Source organism: Homo sapiens, chromosome 5 (genome assembly GCF_000001405.40).
Source record: "Homo sapiens chromosome 5, GRCh38.p14 Primary Assembly".
Taxonomy (NCBI): Eukaryota; Metazoa; Chordata; class Mammalia; order Primates; family Hominidae; genus Homo; species Homo sapiens.
The window spans coordinates 119,246,869-119,262,184 of record NC_000005.10 but is presented as its reverse complement, the minus strand read 5'-3'; the positions used below and the strand labels follow the sequence as shown (position 1 = coordinate 119,262,184).

Below are 15,316 nucleotides of genomic sequence, written 5' to 3'. Positions count from 1 at the left end.
CCACAAAGTTTTAAAAAGAATTTTACTAGATTGAACTGTAAAACACAGGAACCACATAAAATTTAAAGAAGCCTTTCAACCTTCAAACTTCTATGGCCAGAAATCAAGCTGAGAAGACTAATCAGTTGAAACCGTGGTCCACTTTTATGGAAAAGGAAGAATGACTGGGAGTGGGGATAGGGTGGTGGGAAGCCCAGAGGGAGGAGCCAAGATCTGTGGAGAGTAACTCCCAGGGAAAAGGGTTATTTAAGGAACTGGCAACAAGTGCCTATCTAAATTTTAGAATCTCTATGGACCAGGGACTGCTATGTAATTCTAATGTTTCCTTCTTTTTGAATGGGAGAGAGCTCTTCTTTGTTTCATCACTGTATGCTTGGTGTGTAGGAGGCACACAATTTGTCTCTTTAGTTCACCGGTCTTCAGAATGAAAGGTATCATACTTTTAAAACCTCACTTAAGAAGCCTAGTAGAGGCCGGGCACAGTGGCTTAGGCCTGCAATCCCAGCACTTTGGCAGGCCAAGGTGGGCGGATTACTTGAGGTGAGGAGTTCGACACCAGTCTGGCCAACTTGGCGAAACCCCATCTCTACGAAAATACAAAAATTAGCCAGGCGTGGTAGCGGGCACCTGTAATTCCAGCTACTCAGGAGGCTGAGATAGGAGAATCGCTTGAACCCAGGAGGCAGAGGTTGCAGTGAGCCGAGATCCCACCACTGCACTCCAGCTTGGGCGTTGAGACTGAGTCTCAAAAAAAAAAAAGCCTAATAGATACTTGGACCTGATTTAAATAATGGGGATCCTGAGGCTTGAGTCTGGTCCTAATGTCCTGATGATGTAGTAGGATGAAACTACTAGAGTTTTATAAGGAGGGAGTTTATTTTATATGTAAGAGAAACATAAATAATTTATGGACAGAGGATGGACTGTGGTAGATTTTAAGTGGACACAACTAGTTCTTTGACACTTTTACCCATCAGAGATGGAGGGTACGGCCTCCCCTCTTAAAGCTGGATGGGCTCTGTGAAGTTTTGACCAATAAAATATGATAGAAATGACATTGTGCAAGTTTCTAGGTCCAACCTTAAGAGACTGTTATCTTCAACTATCTCTTGGGACATTTATTCTTGGAGCCCTAAGCCATAATGTAAGATGTCTGGACCCTGTTGAAGAAACGGTATGGAAAGGCCCTGAAACTACATGTAGAGGGAGAGTTCCGCCTCAGCCCATACTTCTGGTCATGCCCTCCAAGGTGTGTTAGTAAACCTGTCTTTGGCACTCCAGACTAGCTATGCTGCCTGCTGAATATTACTGGGCCACCCCACTTGATGCCACATGGAGCAGGAGAATTACCCAGATGAGTCCTCTGAATTCCTGACTCACAAAGCCATGGAACATTACATTATCAAATGGTTGCTATTTTAAACCACTAAATTAGGGAGTAGTTGGTTACACAGCATACAAAGTTTAACATTTAATTAACATTACATTTGATGATCAAATTATTGTAAATTTGACCAGTGGAAATGCTTTTGGTTTGTTCTGGCACAACTAAAAAACTACATGATCACTACAACAGACCAGGTGGCTTAAACAACAGAAATTTATTTTCTCACAGTACTGAAGGCTGGAAGTCCAAGATCGAGGTAATACATCTGGTTTCTCTACAGGCCTCTCTCCTTAGCTTGCAGATGACCACTTTCTTGCTGTATCCTCACATGGTCTTTGGTTTGTGCATGCACATATCAAATGTCTCTCTCTCTCTTTAGTCTCTGTTCTTATAGGGAAATCAGTCATATTGAATTAGGGCCCCACCTGTAGGATCTCATTTAACCTTAATTACCTCTTTAAAGGCCTATCTCCAAATACAGTCACAGTGGGGCTTAGGGATTCAATATATGAATTTTGTCAGGGACACAATTCAAACCATAACAATCATCTTCATAAAGGATATTAAAAATAACACCCTTTGTATTATGATTGTCATACAGTTTACTTCTATTTATGCATATAATAACTATAAAAATATTTATTTTTTGCTTTAAACAAATATATATAAATATTTATATAAATATATAAATATATATTTATATAAATTTATATTTATATAAAATATAAAAATATATATATGTGTATATATATATATACACACACATTCATTTTTTTTTTTTTTTTTTTTTTTTTTTTTAGATGGAGTCTCGCTCTGTCACCCAGGCTGGACTGCAGTGGCGCAATCTCAGCTCACTGCAACCTCTGCCTCCTGGGTTCCAGTTCCAGCCATGATGCCCAGCCATCTTTTGAAAAAGTTAAAACAGAAGAAAAGTTTTAAAAATATATGCTCACTTATTTAGTATATTTGGGACTCTTAATTTTTACTGTAGATCCAAGTTTCCATCAGGTATTCCTTTTAGCCTTTAGCCTGAAGAAATTCCTTTTTTAATTTTCTTTTTTAAAAAAATTGGACTCCTTAAAAAAAGGAACTCTTGGCCAGGCACGGTGGCTTACGCCTGTAATCCTAGCACTTTGGGAGGCTGAGGCAGGCAAATCAGGAGGTCAGGAGTTCGAGACCAGTGTGGCCAATATGGTGAAACCCCGTCTATACTAGAAATACAAAAATTAGCCGGGCGTGGTGACGCGTGCCTGTAGTCCCCGCTACTCAGGATGCTGAGGCAGAAGAATCGCTTGAAGACAGGAGGCAGAGTTGCAGTGAGCCAAGATCGTGCCACTGTACTTTAACATTTCCTTTTTAACTTTCATTTTAGGTTCAGGGGTACCTGTGCAGGTTTGTTATATAGGCAGACTTGTGTCACAGGAGTTTGTTGTACAGATTATTTCATCACTCAGGTACAATAGTTATTTTTTCTGCTCCTCTCCTTTTTTCCACCCTCCACCCTCAAGTAGGCCCCAGTGTCTGTTGTTCCCTTCGTTCGTGTCCACGTGTTCTCATCATTTAGCTCCCACTGATAGGTGACAGCATGCAGTATTTGGTTTTCTGTTCCTGCATTAGTTTGCTAAGAATAATGGCCTTTTCCTCCATTCATGTTCCCACAAAAGACACAATCTCATTCTTTTTTATGACTGCATGATATTCCATGGCGTATGTATACCACATTTTCTTTATCCATTCTGTCATTGATGGGCATGTAGGTTGGTTCCATGTCTTTGCTATTGTGAATAATGCTGCTGCGTGAATAATTCACATGCTGTGAATACATGTGCATGTGTCTTTATGGTAGAATGATTTACATTTCTCTGGGTATATACCCAGTAATAGGACTGCCTGGTCAAATGATAGTTCATTTTTAGCTCACTGAGGAATCGCCACACTGCTTTCCACAATGGTTGAACTAATTTACACTTCCACCAACAGTGTCTGAGTGTTCCCTTTTCTCTGCAACATTGCCAGCATGTTGTTTTTTGATTTTATTAAAAAGTCAAAAAATGATAATAGTATCCCATTGTGGTTTTGATTTGCATTTCTCAAATGATCAGTGATTTTGAGCTTTTCTCATATGCTTGTTGGCTTCATGTATGTCTTCTTTTGCAAAGTGTCTGTTCATGTCCTTTGCTCACTTTTTAATGGGGTTGTTTGTCTTTCTCTTGTAAATCTGTTGAAGTTCCTTATAGATCCTGGATATTAGACCTTTGTCAGATGCCTAGTTTGCAAATATTTTCTCCCATTCTATAGGTTGTCTGTTTGCTCTGTGGATAGTTTCTTTTGCTGTGCAGAAGCTCTTAAGTTTAATTAGATCACTGTTGTTAATACTTGCTTTTGTTGCAATTGCTTCTTGGTGTCTTTGTCATAAAATCTTTGCCCATTCCTATATCCAGGATGGTATTGCCTAGGTTGTCTTCCAGGGTTTTTATAGTTTTGATTTTTACATGTAAGTCTTTAATCCATCTTGAGTTAATTTTTGTATATGGTGTAAGGAAGGGGTCCAGCTTCAATCTTCTGCATATAGCTAGCCAGTTATCCCAGCACCATTTATTGATGGGAAGTCCTTTCCTTTCCCCTGTTCTGGTTACTGTAGCCCTGTGATATAGTTTGAAGTCAGGTAATGTGATGCCTCCAGTTTTCTTCTTTTTGATTAGGATTTCCATGGCTATTTGGGCTCTTTTTTGGTTCTACATGAATTTTAAAATAGTTTTTTTCTAGTTTTGTGAAGAATGTCATTGGTAGTTTGACAGGAATAGCATTGAATCTTTAAAAAACATCCTTTTGTATTTCTTGTAGTTCAGATGCATTGGCAACAAATTACAAATTCACTAGTTTCTTTTGTCTAAAAGGGCTTTGTTTTGCCCTCATGTTTGAAGGATATTTTTGCTGGGTATAGATTTTTTGTTTGTCTTTGTTGTTTCCTCAGCACTTTAAAGGTATTGTTCCATTGTCTTCTGACTTGCATAATTTCTGAGAAAAGACTGGTTTATATTGTTTTTCGTTGCCTAATATATTGCTTTCTCTGGCTACATTTATCATTTCCTCATTATCACTGATTTTCAGCAATGCCATTATGAGGTATCATGGCGGTATGTATGTGTGTTAATCCAGTTATGGAGGCCAGGCACGGTGGCTCACACCTGTAATCTCAGCACTTTGGGAGGCTGAGGTGGGCAGATCGCTTGAGCTCAAGAGTTCGAGATCAACCTGGGCAACTGGCGAGAACCCATTTCTACTAAAAATACAAAAAAAAAAAAAAAAATAGCCAGGCGTGGTGGTGTGTGCCTGTAGTGCCAGCTACTCAGGAGGCTGAGGTGGGAGGATCACTTGAGCCTGGGAGATGGAGGCTGCAGTGAGCTGAGATCATGCCACTGCACTCCAGCCTGGGCAATAGAGCCAGACCTTGTCTCAACTATGGGTTTTTGAGTTTCCTGTATCTTCAGGTTTATAGTTTTCATCAAGTTTGGAAAATTTTAAAGCTATTTTTTAAAGTATTTTTTCTTCCTCTTATTTTCATTCTCCTGGGACTCTAAGTAGATGTATCATACCACTTGGTATTATAGCATCATTAATTAATCAGTGTTCCTTGCTCTCTTGTATTTTTTCTAATTTTTTTTTATTATGTTTGCTTTCTCTTGAATAGCTTCACTTGCCATGTCTTTAAATTCTCTGATCTTCTCTTCAAAAGTGTTTTAGAATTAAGCCCATCCAGTGAATTACTTCAGATATTGTATTTTTCATCTCTAAAAGTTCAACATAGTTCTACCATCTGCTTTCATTACATTAATGTTTTTCCTCAGATCTTGTGCATACTTACAATAGCTGTTTTACAGCCCTTTTCTATTAATTCCATTATGTGTCATTTCTGAGTCTTTTTTCTTTTATGCTTTTATTGTTTTTAATTGACACAATTATACATACTGATTTTTCCCCTCATATCTTGTGTCATTTTTTTTATTTCCTTAAGTTGGACTTCACATTTCTCTGGTGACTCCTTGATTAGCTTAATAATTGACCTTCTGAATTCTTTTTCTGGCAATTCAGGGATTTCGTCTTGGTTTGGATCCATTGCTGGTGAGCTAGTGTGATTTTTGGGGGGTGTTGACGAAACTTAATTTGTCACATTACAATTGTTTTTCTGTTTCCTTCTCATTTGGGTAGGCTATGTCAGAGGGAAAATCTGGGGCTCAAGGCTGCCATTCAGGTTCTTTTGTCCCATGAGGTGCTCCCTTGATGTAGTACTCTCCCCCTTTTCCTAGGGATGTGGCTTCCTGAGAGCCAAATTGTAGTAATTGTTATTTCTCTTCTGGATCTAGCCACTCAGCAGGGCTGCCAGGCTCTGGGCTGCTACTGGGGGGTGTCTGCACAGAGTCCTGTGATGTGAATCATCTTCAGGTCTGTCAGCCATGGATACCAGTACCTGCTTTTGTAGAGGTGGCAGATGAGTGAAATGGACTCTGAGTGTCTTTAGTTGTAGTTGTTTAATGCACTAGTTTTCTGCTGGTTGACCTCTTACCAGGAGGTGGTGCTATCTATCAAAAGAGCATCAGCTGTGGTAGTATGGAGGAGGATCAGCCAGTGGGCAGGGCCCTGGAACTCCCAAGAGAATATGACCTTTGTCTTTAGCTACCAGGTTGGGTAGGGAAGGACCATCAGGTAAGGGCAGGGTTAGGCGTGTCTGAGTTCAGACTCTCCTTGGGCGGGGCTTGCTGTGGTGGCTGTTGGGGATGGGGGTGTGGCTCCCAGGTCAATGGAGTTATGTTCCCAGGAGGATTATGGCTGTCTCTGCTGTGTCATGCAGGTTGTCAGGGAAGTGTGGGAAAGCTGGCAGTTACAGGCCTCACCCAGCTCCCATGTAATTGAAAAGGCTGATCTCACTCTCACCATGCCCCCCAACCAACAGCACCTAGTTGGTTTCCAGGCAGTGGGCAAGCAGGGCTGAGAACTTGCCCCAGGCTACCAGCCTCCTGGCTGAGGAAGCAAGCAGGGCTTTCACTCCTCCCCGCCTATCGGTCTGCACACTGGATTCACACCATCCCCAGAGTTCTGGCCAGGAGACTTTGTGTTTAGTTGGAATTGTTACAAAGTTCAGCTGGAGGTTTCTTTCTCCCTGTGGTCTTTTCCCTGTTCCTCTGGCGTACCTCCCCAAGGATCCCTGAGAGAAAAGTCAGAAATGGCTTTCGTGGGGACCCAGAGAGCCCACAGGGCTTTTCCCACTGCTTCCTCTACCCATGTAATTTGCTTGGCTTTCTAAATTGTCTCAGCTCCTGGTAAGTCAAATCCTTCTCCTATGACCTGAACCTTCAGGTTCCCCAGTGAGGGTATGTGTTCAGGGGCAGATGATCCCTCTTTCCCACTTTCACAGTTTGGGCACTCACAGTATTTGGGCTATCTCCTGGGTCCTGCAGGAGCAATCCACTTCCTTCAAAGGGTCTGTGGATTCGCTCATCTTTCCTGGTATATTCCTGCAGTAGTTCTTGGAGCAAGAGTTCACAATGTGTCTCCACCCAATGCTCTGTATGAGTGGGAGCTGTGATTTAGTCCTGCCTCCTATCCGTTTTTGTTTTGTTTTGTTTTGTTTTTTGGTGTCCAAAGTATTGATGGGAGTTGCTACCATCCTCATTCCTACCTCCTTATTGAAAGGAGAAGTTCCTCCTGGTTTTCAGCTAATCCTAGTTGGGGAATGGGGTGGTAGAGGCCCAATGTTTTCTTCTGTTTTCTAGGTGGCCATCTGTTTCTGTTCCCATCCAGATTTATGTTACTCCTCTGAGACACTTTGGAACTCTCCGTTTTATTTTTGTTTGTTGTTTTTAAAATGTTGTGTTTTCTTTTGAGACAGGATCTCACTGTTGTCCAGGCTGGAGTACAGTGGTGCAATCATAGCTCACTGTGATACACCTCAAACTCCTGGGCAATACTCCTATCTCAGCCTCCCTAGTAGCTAGGACTACAGGAATGCACCACCCACATCCAGCTAATTTTTAAGTAATTTTTTGTAGAGATGGAGTCTTGCTATGTTGCCTAGGCTGGTCTCAAACTCCTGGCTTCAAGGGATCCTTTCACTTCATCTTCCCAAAGTAGTGGGATTACAGACATGAGCCACCATGCCCAGATTAAATTGTAGTTTTCATCGTTTTGGTTGTCATTGTGAGAGAGACAAGTGCCAGAACTTCTAGTCTGCCATGTTTTCTGCTTTTTTTTTTTTTTTTTTTTGAGACGGAGTCTTGCTCTGTCTCCCAGGCTGGAGTGCAGTGGCGTGATCTCTGCTCACTGCAAACTCTGCCTCCCAGGTTCCTGCCATTCTCCTGCCTCAGCCTCCCGAGTAGCTGGGACTACAGGCGCCTGCCACTGTGCCCAGCTAATTTTTTTGTATTTTTTAGTAGAGACGGGGTTTCACCGTGTTAGCCAGGATGGTCTCGATCTCCTGACCTTGTGATCCACCCGCCTTGGCCTCCCAAAGTGCTGGGATTACAGGCGTGAGCCACTGCACCCGGCCCATGTTTTCTGTTTCTATTGACTGATATTTCTCTCGTATGAGTCACATTTTTCAGCTTCTGTTCCTGTCTGGTAATTTTTGATGGGGTGCTGACATTGTCCCAAGCAATTTCAAAGAACAGCAGGGAAAATTCCATTCAGCTTCAAGGCCTGAGAATAACCCTGTGATTCAAAGCTCTGCTCTCTGGGCTTGCAACTCCTGGCTCTGCACCCAGAGTTCTGCCTTCCCATAAACATTGCATATTTTTCTGTGTTCTATATCTATTATTTTCTCTACAACAATTTTTTACTTCATTTTTTGGCTCATTTAATTTCTATTCTCTCTGTTACATGTGTGCTTTCAGTCATATCTCTTCTCCCTTGGGCCATCTCTAATTTAGCCTTGATTTATGAGATAATTTTGCTGTTTTCATTCCTGAGTAAATGCAGGTCCTGTAAATGCAGCCTGGGCAAGAGTGAGACCCTGTCGATCAATTAGTAAGTTAGACTATTTTGAATTACTGCTTTCCTCTGTTTCATGAAATTATTGAGGGTGGTTTATATTTTTATGTTTGAGACTGTCTCACTCTATCACCCAGGCTGGAGTGCAGTGGCACAATCATGGCTCACTGCAGCCTTGGTCTCCTCAGGCTCAGGTAATCCTTTCATCTCAGCCTCCTGAGTAGCTGGGACTACAGGAACGTGACACCATGCATGACTAATTTTTCTATTTTTTTTTTCTTTTGTAGAAGGGGTTTCACCATGTTTCCCAGACTGGTCTTGAACTCCTGGACTCAAGCAATCCTCCCACTTTGACCTCTCAAAGTGCTGGGATTACAGACATGAGCCACCCCTCCTCCCCTGCTTTTTTTGAGACATGGTCTCACTTTGGACCCAGACTGAAGTAGTGGTATGATCACTACTCACTGCAGCCTCAACCTCCCCAGCTCAGACAATCCTCCTGCCTCAAGTAGCTGGGACCACAAGAATGTGCTACCATGCCCGGCTAATTTTTAAATTATTTGTAGAGATGGGGGTCTTCCTATGTTGCCCAGGCTGGTCTTGAACTCTTAGGCTCAAGCAATCCTCTTGCCTGGGCCTTCCAGTGCTGGGATTACAGGAACTGGCCACTGCACCTGGCCTAGCGTGTTTTTGTATGTTCAAAGAAACGTTTTGAGAGTAAATTTGTGTGGATTTTTTTTTCACATGTGGTATAAACTATTCACGTTACAATAGTAAACAATCTTATGGACAAGTGTAGGGGGGCTGTTTTTTTCATTCAGGAGCACAGTGCTTTATTTGTAAAATAAATCACGATTTCCTTTAAAAAAATCACACACCTTTATGGAGGATATTTTTGGATTCTTTGATATCTTGTTAAACGACACTTACCTTCATTTACTTCCTTCTCTCCCTTCACCAATAAGCCTCCAAAGGACATCAGTTCCTCTGAAGATGGCCTATTTCAGAACTAATTTCCCAAAATATTCACACCTAATCACATACAATTTCCAACTCTATTTTTCAGTAGCCAGTTATTTGTTCTATTTCACCATTCAGAATGAGACCCTCTCCTTCTAAACTCCAGTTCATATTGTGTCAGTACCAGTAGAATCCTGCACTCTTCTATGTACCCCTTTTCCAATCATTTTCTGCTACAGTGTGGGGTCTGGGAGACTCAGATATTTATTTCCTAAATTATATGTAATTTAAAGGTTGCTGTCTTCTCTGCCATCTAATATGCTTAGGTATGGTATCTGAGTGATTTGTTCTTTTTGTTCTTTAAAGGGATTTGTGAAACAGTTGAAATTTAGATGACTGTCATTACTGTATAAGAATCTTGGGCTTCTGACTATGAGGTACAGGGCCATGGTGAATGCTTATATAACTTATTAGGGGGATGTGTTGGGGTGAAGTCTAGCCCTCGCTTCATTTGCTGTTTCTTGTGGAACTGCATTATCAGAAGATATGCCTCATTTGTAGGGCTACATCCATGTAACTTCATCTACACATGAAGTTTTCTTTAATGTAAACTCCAGATGGGGCATTCCCCCCCGTCATAAAACTTCTCATTAGGAAAAAGCCCTATGAGATCTTAACATACACTGCAAGTATTGTAGCTTGCTTAGTTATCTTCATGTCTGAATGGCCATAGTAATCTGATGCATTTTCTGCAAAACACAGAATGAAACAACCCAAATACAGACAACCAGATCCTATTTTAAGGAATTATCTTTGCTTGTGTTCAGAATAAACTGAAAAAAAAAAAAAAAAGGTATGGCTTCAGAAAACAAATATGCTGCAATTTCAGAAATGATGCTAAGAGTAGATTCCAAAGGATTTTTAAAACTTATTTAACGTATGTCCAGGGATACACCATACTGGCTGAGTTCTGTTACACAGGTCATACCTGTACATTGCATAGAAAATTGATTGTCCATGAATAAAGCATTTTTTCCACTGTGGAGTGAAATGTGTTGTCACACCAATTGTTTCTATTAGTCATCTGTATTTGCAGTGGAAGAACTTAAAAGTGTTTTTGTTCCAAGGACCCCTGTGAAACAATGTGACACTCTCAGTGTTAGTTCCTTGAGTAATGGACCATATATGTGCAATGACAGCCAAGCAGAAAGAAAAAACATCTTGAAAAGCTCAAAAACAGATTCAGCTTTGAAAATAACTGGACTGAAATCTACACACATTTCTAGAATACTAACAGGCACATTCAAATAATCTATGATCAACTTTTTCCAGGTACTCCAATGCAGCAATCCCCAACCCTTTTGGCACCAGGGACTGGTTTCGTGGGAAGACAGTTATTCCATGGAGCCAGATGGTTTCAGGATGATTCAAGCGCATTACACGTATTGTGCAGTTTATTATTACATTGTAATATATGATGAAATAATTATACAACTCACCATGACATAAAATCAGTGGGAGTCTTGAGCTTGTTTTCCTACAACTGGATGGTCCCATCTGGGGGTGATGGGAGACAGTGACAGATCATCAGGCATCACTCTCATAATGAGCACACAACCTAGATCCCTTGCATGCGCAGTTCACAGTAGGGTTCCTGCTCCTATGAGAATCGAATGCCTCCACTGATCTGACAGGAGGCGGAGCTCAGGTGGTAATGCAAGCAATGGGGAGCAGCTATAAATACACATGAAGCTTTGCCCAACACTCACCTCCTGCTGTGCAACCCGGTACCAGTTGTCACCCATGGGCTGGGGACTCCTGCTCCAAAGGGTAACATTTTAACATTCAGCTTAAATAAATTTCACCAAAAATATCTCAACAATTCAAAGAGGAGTGTTCCTGACACCAGATCACTTTATTCAACAGAGCAGCTCCCAAAGTCATGAAGTACTACTTGGTTTAAAAATAAAGCTGTTTTTCCCACGTACACACATTCAACAAAACTATCTTTGGTATTACTTTACTGAGTGAGGTTTAAAGGAGTTTGGGAAAATATTACAGCCTTCTTCCTTTTCCCAATGCTAAAAGTTTTGTGTATTTTTTCCACATGCATTTCTTTGTTCATATATATTTTAAAAAGTCTAAACAATTAGGATATTGTATCTTTTGCTCTGTAATTTTTTTTCCTCATCAGCCTCTTCTCAGGCCAACATATACATATCTAACATTCTTTTTAGTGGTGAGAGAATATTCTATAATATTACATGTATGTACCATAATTTATTCAACCATTTACTTGCTAATTAACATTTAGATTTCCAGTTTTTTTTTTTTTTTTTTTTTCATTTTTATTTTTTGAGACAGACTTTTGCTCTGTCACCCAGGCTGGAGTGCAGTGGCATGATCTCGGCTCACTGCAACCTCCACCTCCTGGGTTCAAGTGGTTCTCCTGCCTCAGCCTCCTGAGTAGCTGGGACTACAGGCACACAACCCCATACTCCACTAATTTTTGTATTTTTAGTAGAGATGGGTTTCACCATGTTGGCCAGGCTGGCCACAAACTCCTGACCTCAAGTGACCTGTGCTTGCTTCAGCCTCCTAAAGTGCTGAGATTACAGGTGTGAGCCAACACATCTGGCCTCTAGAATATGTTTCAATAAACATCTGTGTCCTTACATTTTTATGCATGGAAGCTTTTATTTTTATAATTTCTCAGAAGGTTGTTCACTGAAAGTTATGTGTATTTGATTTTAATTCACACCCAGATAACTTTGCCAGCAATGTTTCTGCCAATTTCCTTGCATCTTCACCAAAATGGATATTGTCACTATTTAACCTTAAACCAATCTGATAAAAACTAGTATTACAGTAATACTTTTTAAAAAACAATCCATTAACCCTTATAATGAAGATGAACACACTTTATATTTGTTGACTTTTTCAATGTCCTGTTCTGTGAATTGCTTATTCACAGTGTGACCACTTCTCCAATAACTTAAACTTCTCTTTGTATACAGGGACACTGACATGTTTCCTATTACTATACAAATATTTCTTCTAGTCTACTTGTTGTTTTAACTTTGACTGTGGTCCCTGCCATATGACATTTAAATTTTTTATTAAGTAAAATATGTCTGTGTTTCCAATCTTGTTAAAAAGATCACTTCCACCCTAAGGTTGTATAGACTTTTCTTTGAATGTGTCTTTGTATTGTGTTTCCATTGTTGGGACCAATGTGAGAAATTTCTGCAATTCTTCTAAAAAATATTTTTTTTTTCAAAGAAGGGAGGGCAAGGGCAAAGAGCAAGAAAGGAGGATGGAGATGACTGGTCCATGGTTTTAGTTAAGAAAAATCCTAGATATCAGAAAATAAGATTTGTTAATGTTGTGAATCCTTATATGATCACAAAGCCACATTCTTAGGAAACACACAATTAAAAAATGTATTTTGATGTATCCACTCCATTAATGTGGATAATGAAATTTTACATATATGTATATCATTTTATATTTAAACATTTCAACAATTTTTATTCCCACCTTCCTTGAATGCTGCTTACCTATCAACTTAAAAAGACGGTAGAAAAGAACAGGGTATTCGGGAAAGTTATTCCATCCTCCTTACATTAACCAAATACAAATATGGAAATTCTTGATTTTAAAATGTCACATATTTTAAGTCAGCTAAATTGGCAACGATATTAAAACAATAGTATACCCCCTAAAAAAGTTTCTGCATGATTGTTTATTTAAAATATTATGACTCTGGATGTAAATACATATGGGCTTACATAATGTATGATTATCCATATAAATGCTCAATTAAAATATTTAGTTCATCCTTAAACACCTTTTGTTCTAATAAGCATAATAGTAAATATTTTATCTCATTGGAAGTGTTTAAAGCTGTTTGAATCTTGATTTGTGAAGAAATTACTGAAAAATAACTTAAGGTTAACTACATCAAACAATACTATTGTTTGCAATGCTGTCAGATTTCTCCATGGCAAAATAGTCGCATATGGTTATTGCACGATTTATAGGTACAGGTTATTATGTGCATATAAACTCTCTACATAATGACAGTGTTTGCACTGCAACTTGCTCAACACATTTAAAATTGTTGAAATACAATTTACAAAATCTTTAACAACATACTTTTAAGATAAAAGTATCCTGAGGATATTACAAAATTCATTTTACCAGCCCTTCATTTCTTTGCTTTGACTCTTTAATTTCCAAGATAATCGTTGCCCATATTTTATTACATAAAATGCTATTATTATATATTTCCTATTAAACAAAATATATTTAAGTTAAATAGTACATAATTGTCCCATAAACACTTAGTCCCATCTGCCTGTAGTCTCATTGGTTAAAATCAAGTATTTATCAAGTTTTCTATAATTCTGAATCAGAAAAGGTACAGCACAAAACAGACAGAAACAGGGTTAGCACATTTAAGTTAAAAGCATTGTGCATTTTAAATATTTTGGTCATATTTTATAATAAAATATTTTGGCAAAAATAAAATATAAGGTTTAGTTTATTTTCTATTAATGGTAGATCTGGAGAGTATTTTACATTTCTAAATAGTATCTACTTAATTTGACTGCTTTCACATTTGTTTCTGAAAACACTGCTATTCGCTTTTCAGAATTTTGAGATTAAAAGCACCTAAAAATAAGATAAAATAAAATTTAAGTAAAATATTTGTTTGATGCTCGAAAGTTGACAAATTCACAAACTTACTTTAAGTGTCTTACATGATATATGCCACCACAGAAACTTTATTGCCTGCTAAGACTTATTTGACTAAATCTAATCTTTAAAATAATAATCCTGATAGTCTCCTTGAAACTTATTTGAAAATTAGGATGGGAATTCAAAAATTTTTTAAAAATGAAAAGCACAGTTGCAAAAAAAAAGTTATTCTGGTGGCAATAGTTGTTATGGCACAAAAACACATGAAAAACCAGTTTTCGCTAATATATACAACTAAGTTCAAATAAGATGTGTAAGATACACACACACACACACACACACACGTATACATACATACAACTTGGGTTCCGGAGGGTAAACTACTGAAAACCTTACATATTGAGCCATCTAGCTCATTTATCACTGACGTCTCAATGACAATTTTAATGAAGATGTTCATTATTTTTTTCATTCTTACTCAAATACCTATCATTAATTAAGAGAAGAGTTTGAGATGTATAAGGCTAATAAAGGAAGTGAGAGTGTGGTGAATTAAGTGATGAGTATTATGTACAATTGCCTTTACAAAAAACGTATTTTTACTGTGGAAGAAATTCATGCAGAGATGCCTGTGGAAAAGTATCAATAAGAAAACAAAACACCTTTAACACTATGACATACTGATTATAATATACTATGATATGTATTATTACAGCATTACTTACACATTCTACTTTAGGCAATGTAATCTACTTCTGAATGACCTTGTTAATTTTTAAGGCATCAGTGCATCAAGGGCAAAGCTCCATAAAATAAATATAAAAACAAGAAAGCATTAGCTAATTTGTGGCATAGAGAATGATCACTGTATATTATATCTGTTGGCCACTTCCATATAGGTAATAAATTGTACATCTTATTGTAAAAATGTTATAGCATAAATTTCACATCATTTTTCAACACTTCATTTAAAGGGCTAAACTGATCTGGCAGTATTCTCATTTTCATTGTTCCATCAGCTCCACAGGAGAAAATGTGATTTGCAGGCCCTGTCTCAATTTGCATCACTCCAGTTCCAATATTTCTAAAAATGGACTGCCGAGCATGTTCACTGACAAAAGTATGGAGAAGACCAAAGGTAGAGAGACTCCAAATCTGAAAGATATTAAGAACAAACGGAAAATTAGGGTTGATGATGACCTTAAGAAATCAAATGAGGCCAGGTGCGGTGGCTCATGCCTGTAATCCCAGCACTTTGGGAGGTCAAGGCAGGCAGACCAC

At 38.8% G+C, this 15,316-nt stretch overlaps 1 protein-coding gene across 24 annotated transcripts in view, besides 1 other annotated feature; it reads right to left on the bottom strand.

Annotated features, from left to right (window-relative positions):
• Positions 5,877–6,433: an enhancer, noted in NCBI's record as "H3K27ac hESC enhancer chr5:118591447-118592003 (GRCh37/hg19 assembly coordinates)". NCBI's record gives its function as "activates a minimal SCP1, AML or CMV promoter by ChIP-STARR-seq in naive H9 embryonic stem cells {active_cell/tissue: H9 hESC(naive)}" and the evidence as "EXISTENCE:reporter gene assay evidence [ECO:0000049][PMID:30033119]".
• Positions 13,058–15,316, bottom strand: part of DMXL1 (Dmx like 1) — a 178,101-nt gene continuing 175,842 nt past the window's right edge. For all 24 annotated transcript variants that reach the window (NR_170869.1, NR_170867.1, NR_170868.1 and 21 more), the window contains one exon: positions 13,058–15,190. Coding sequence is in view for 21 of the 24 variants with exons in the window: in XM_011543213.3 (XP_011541515.1) it covers positions 14,966–15,190 (225 nt within the window). In the remaining 3 variants the exon portion in view is untranslated. The remainder of the gene's footprint in view (positions 15,191–15,316) is intronic.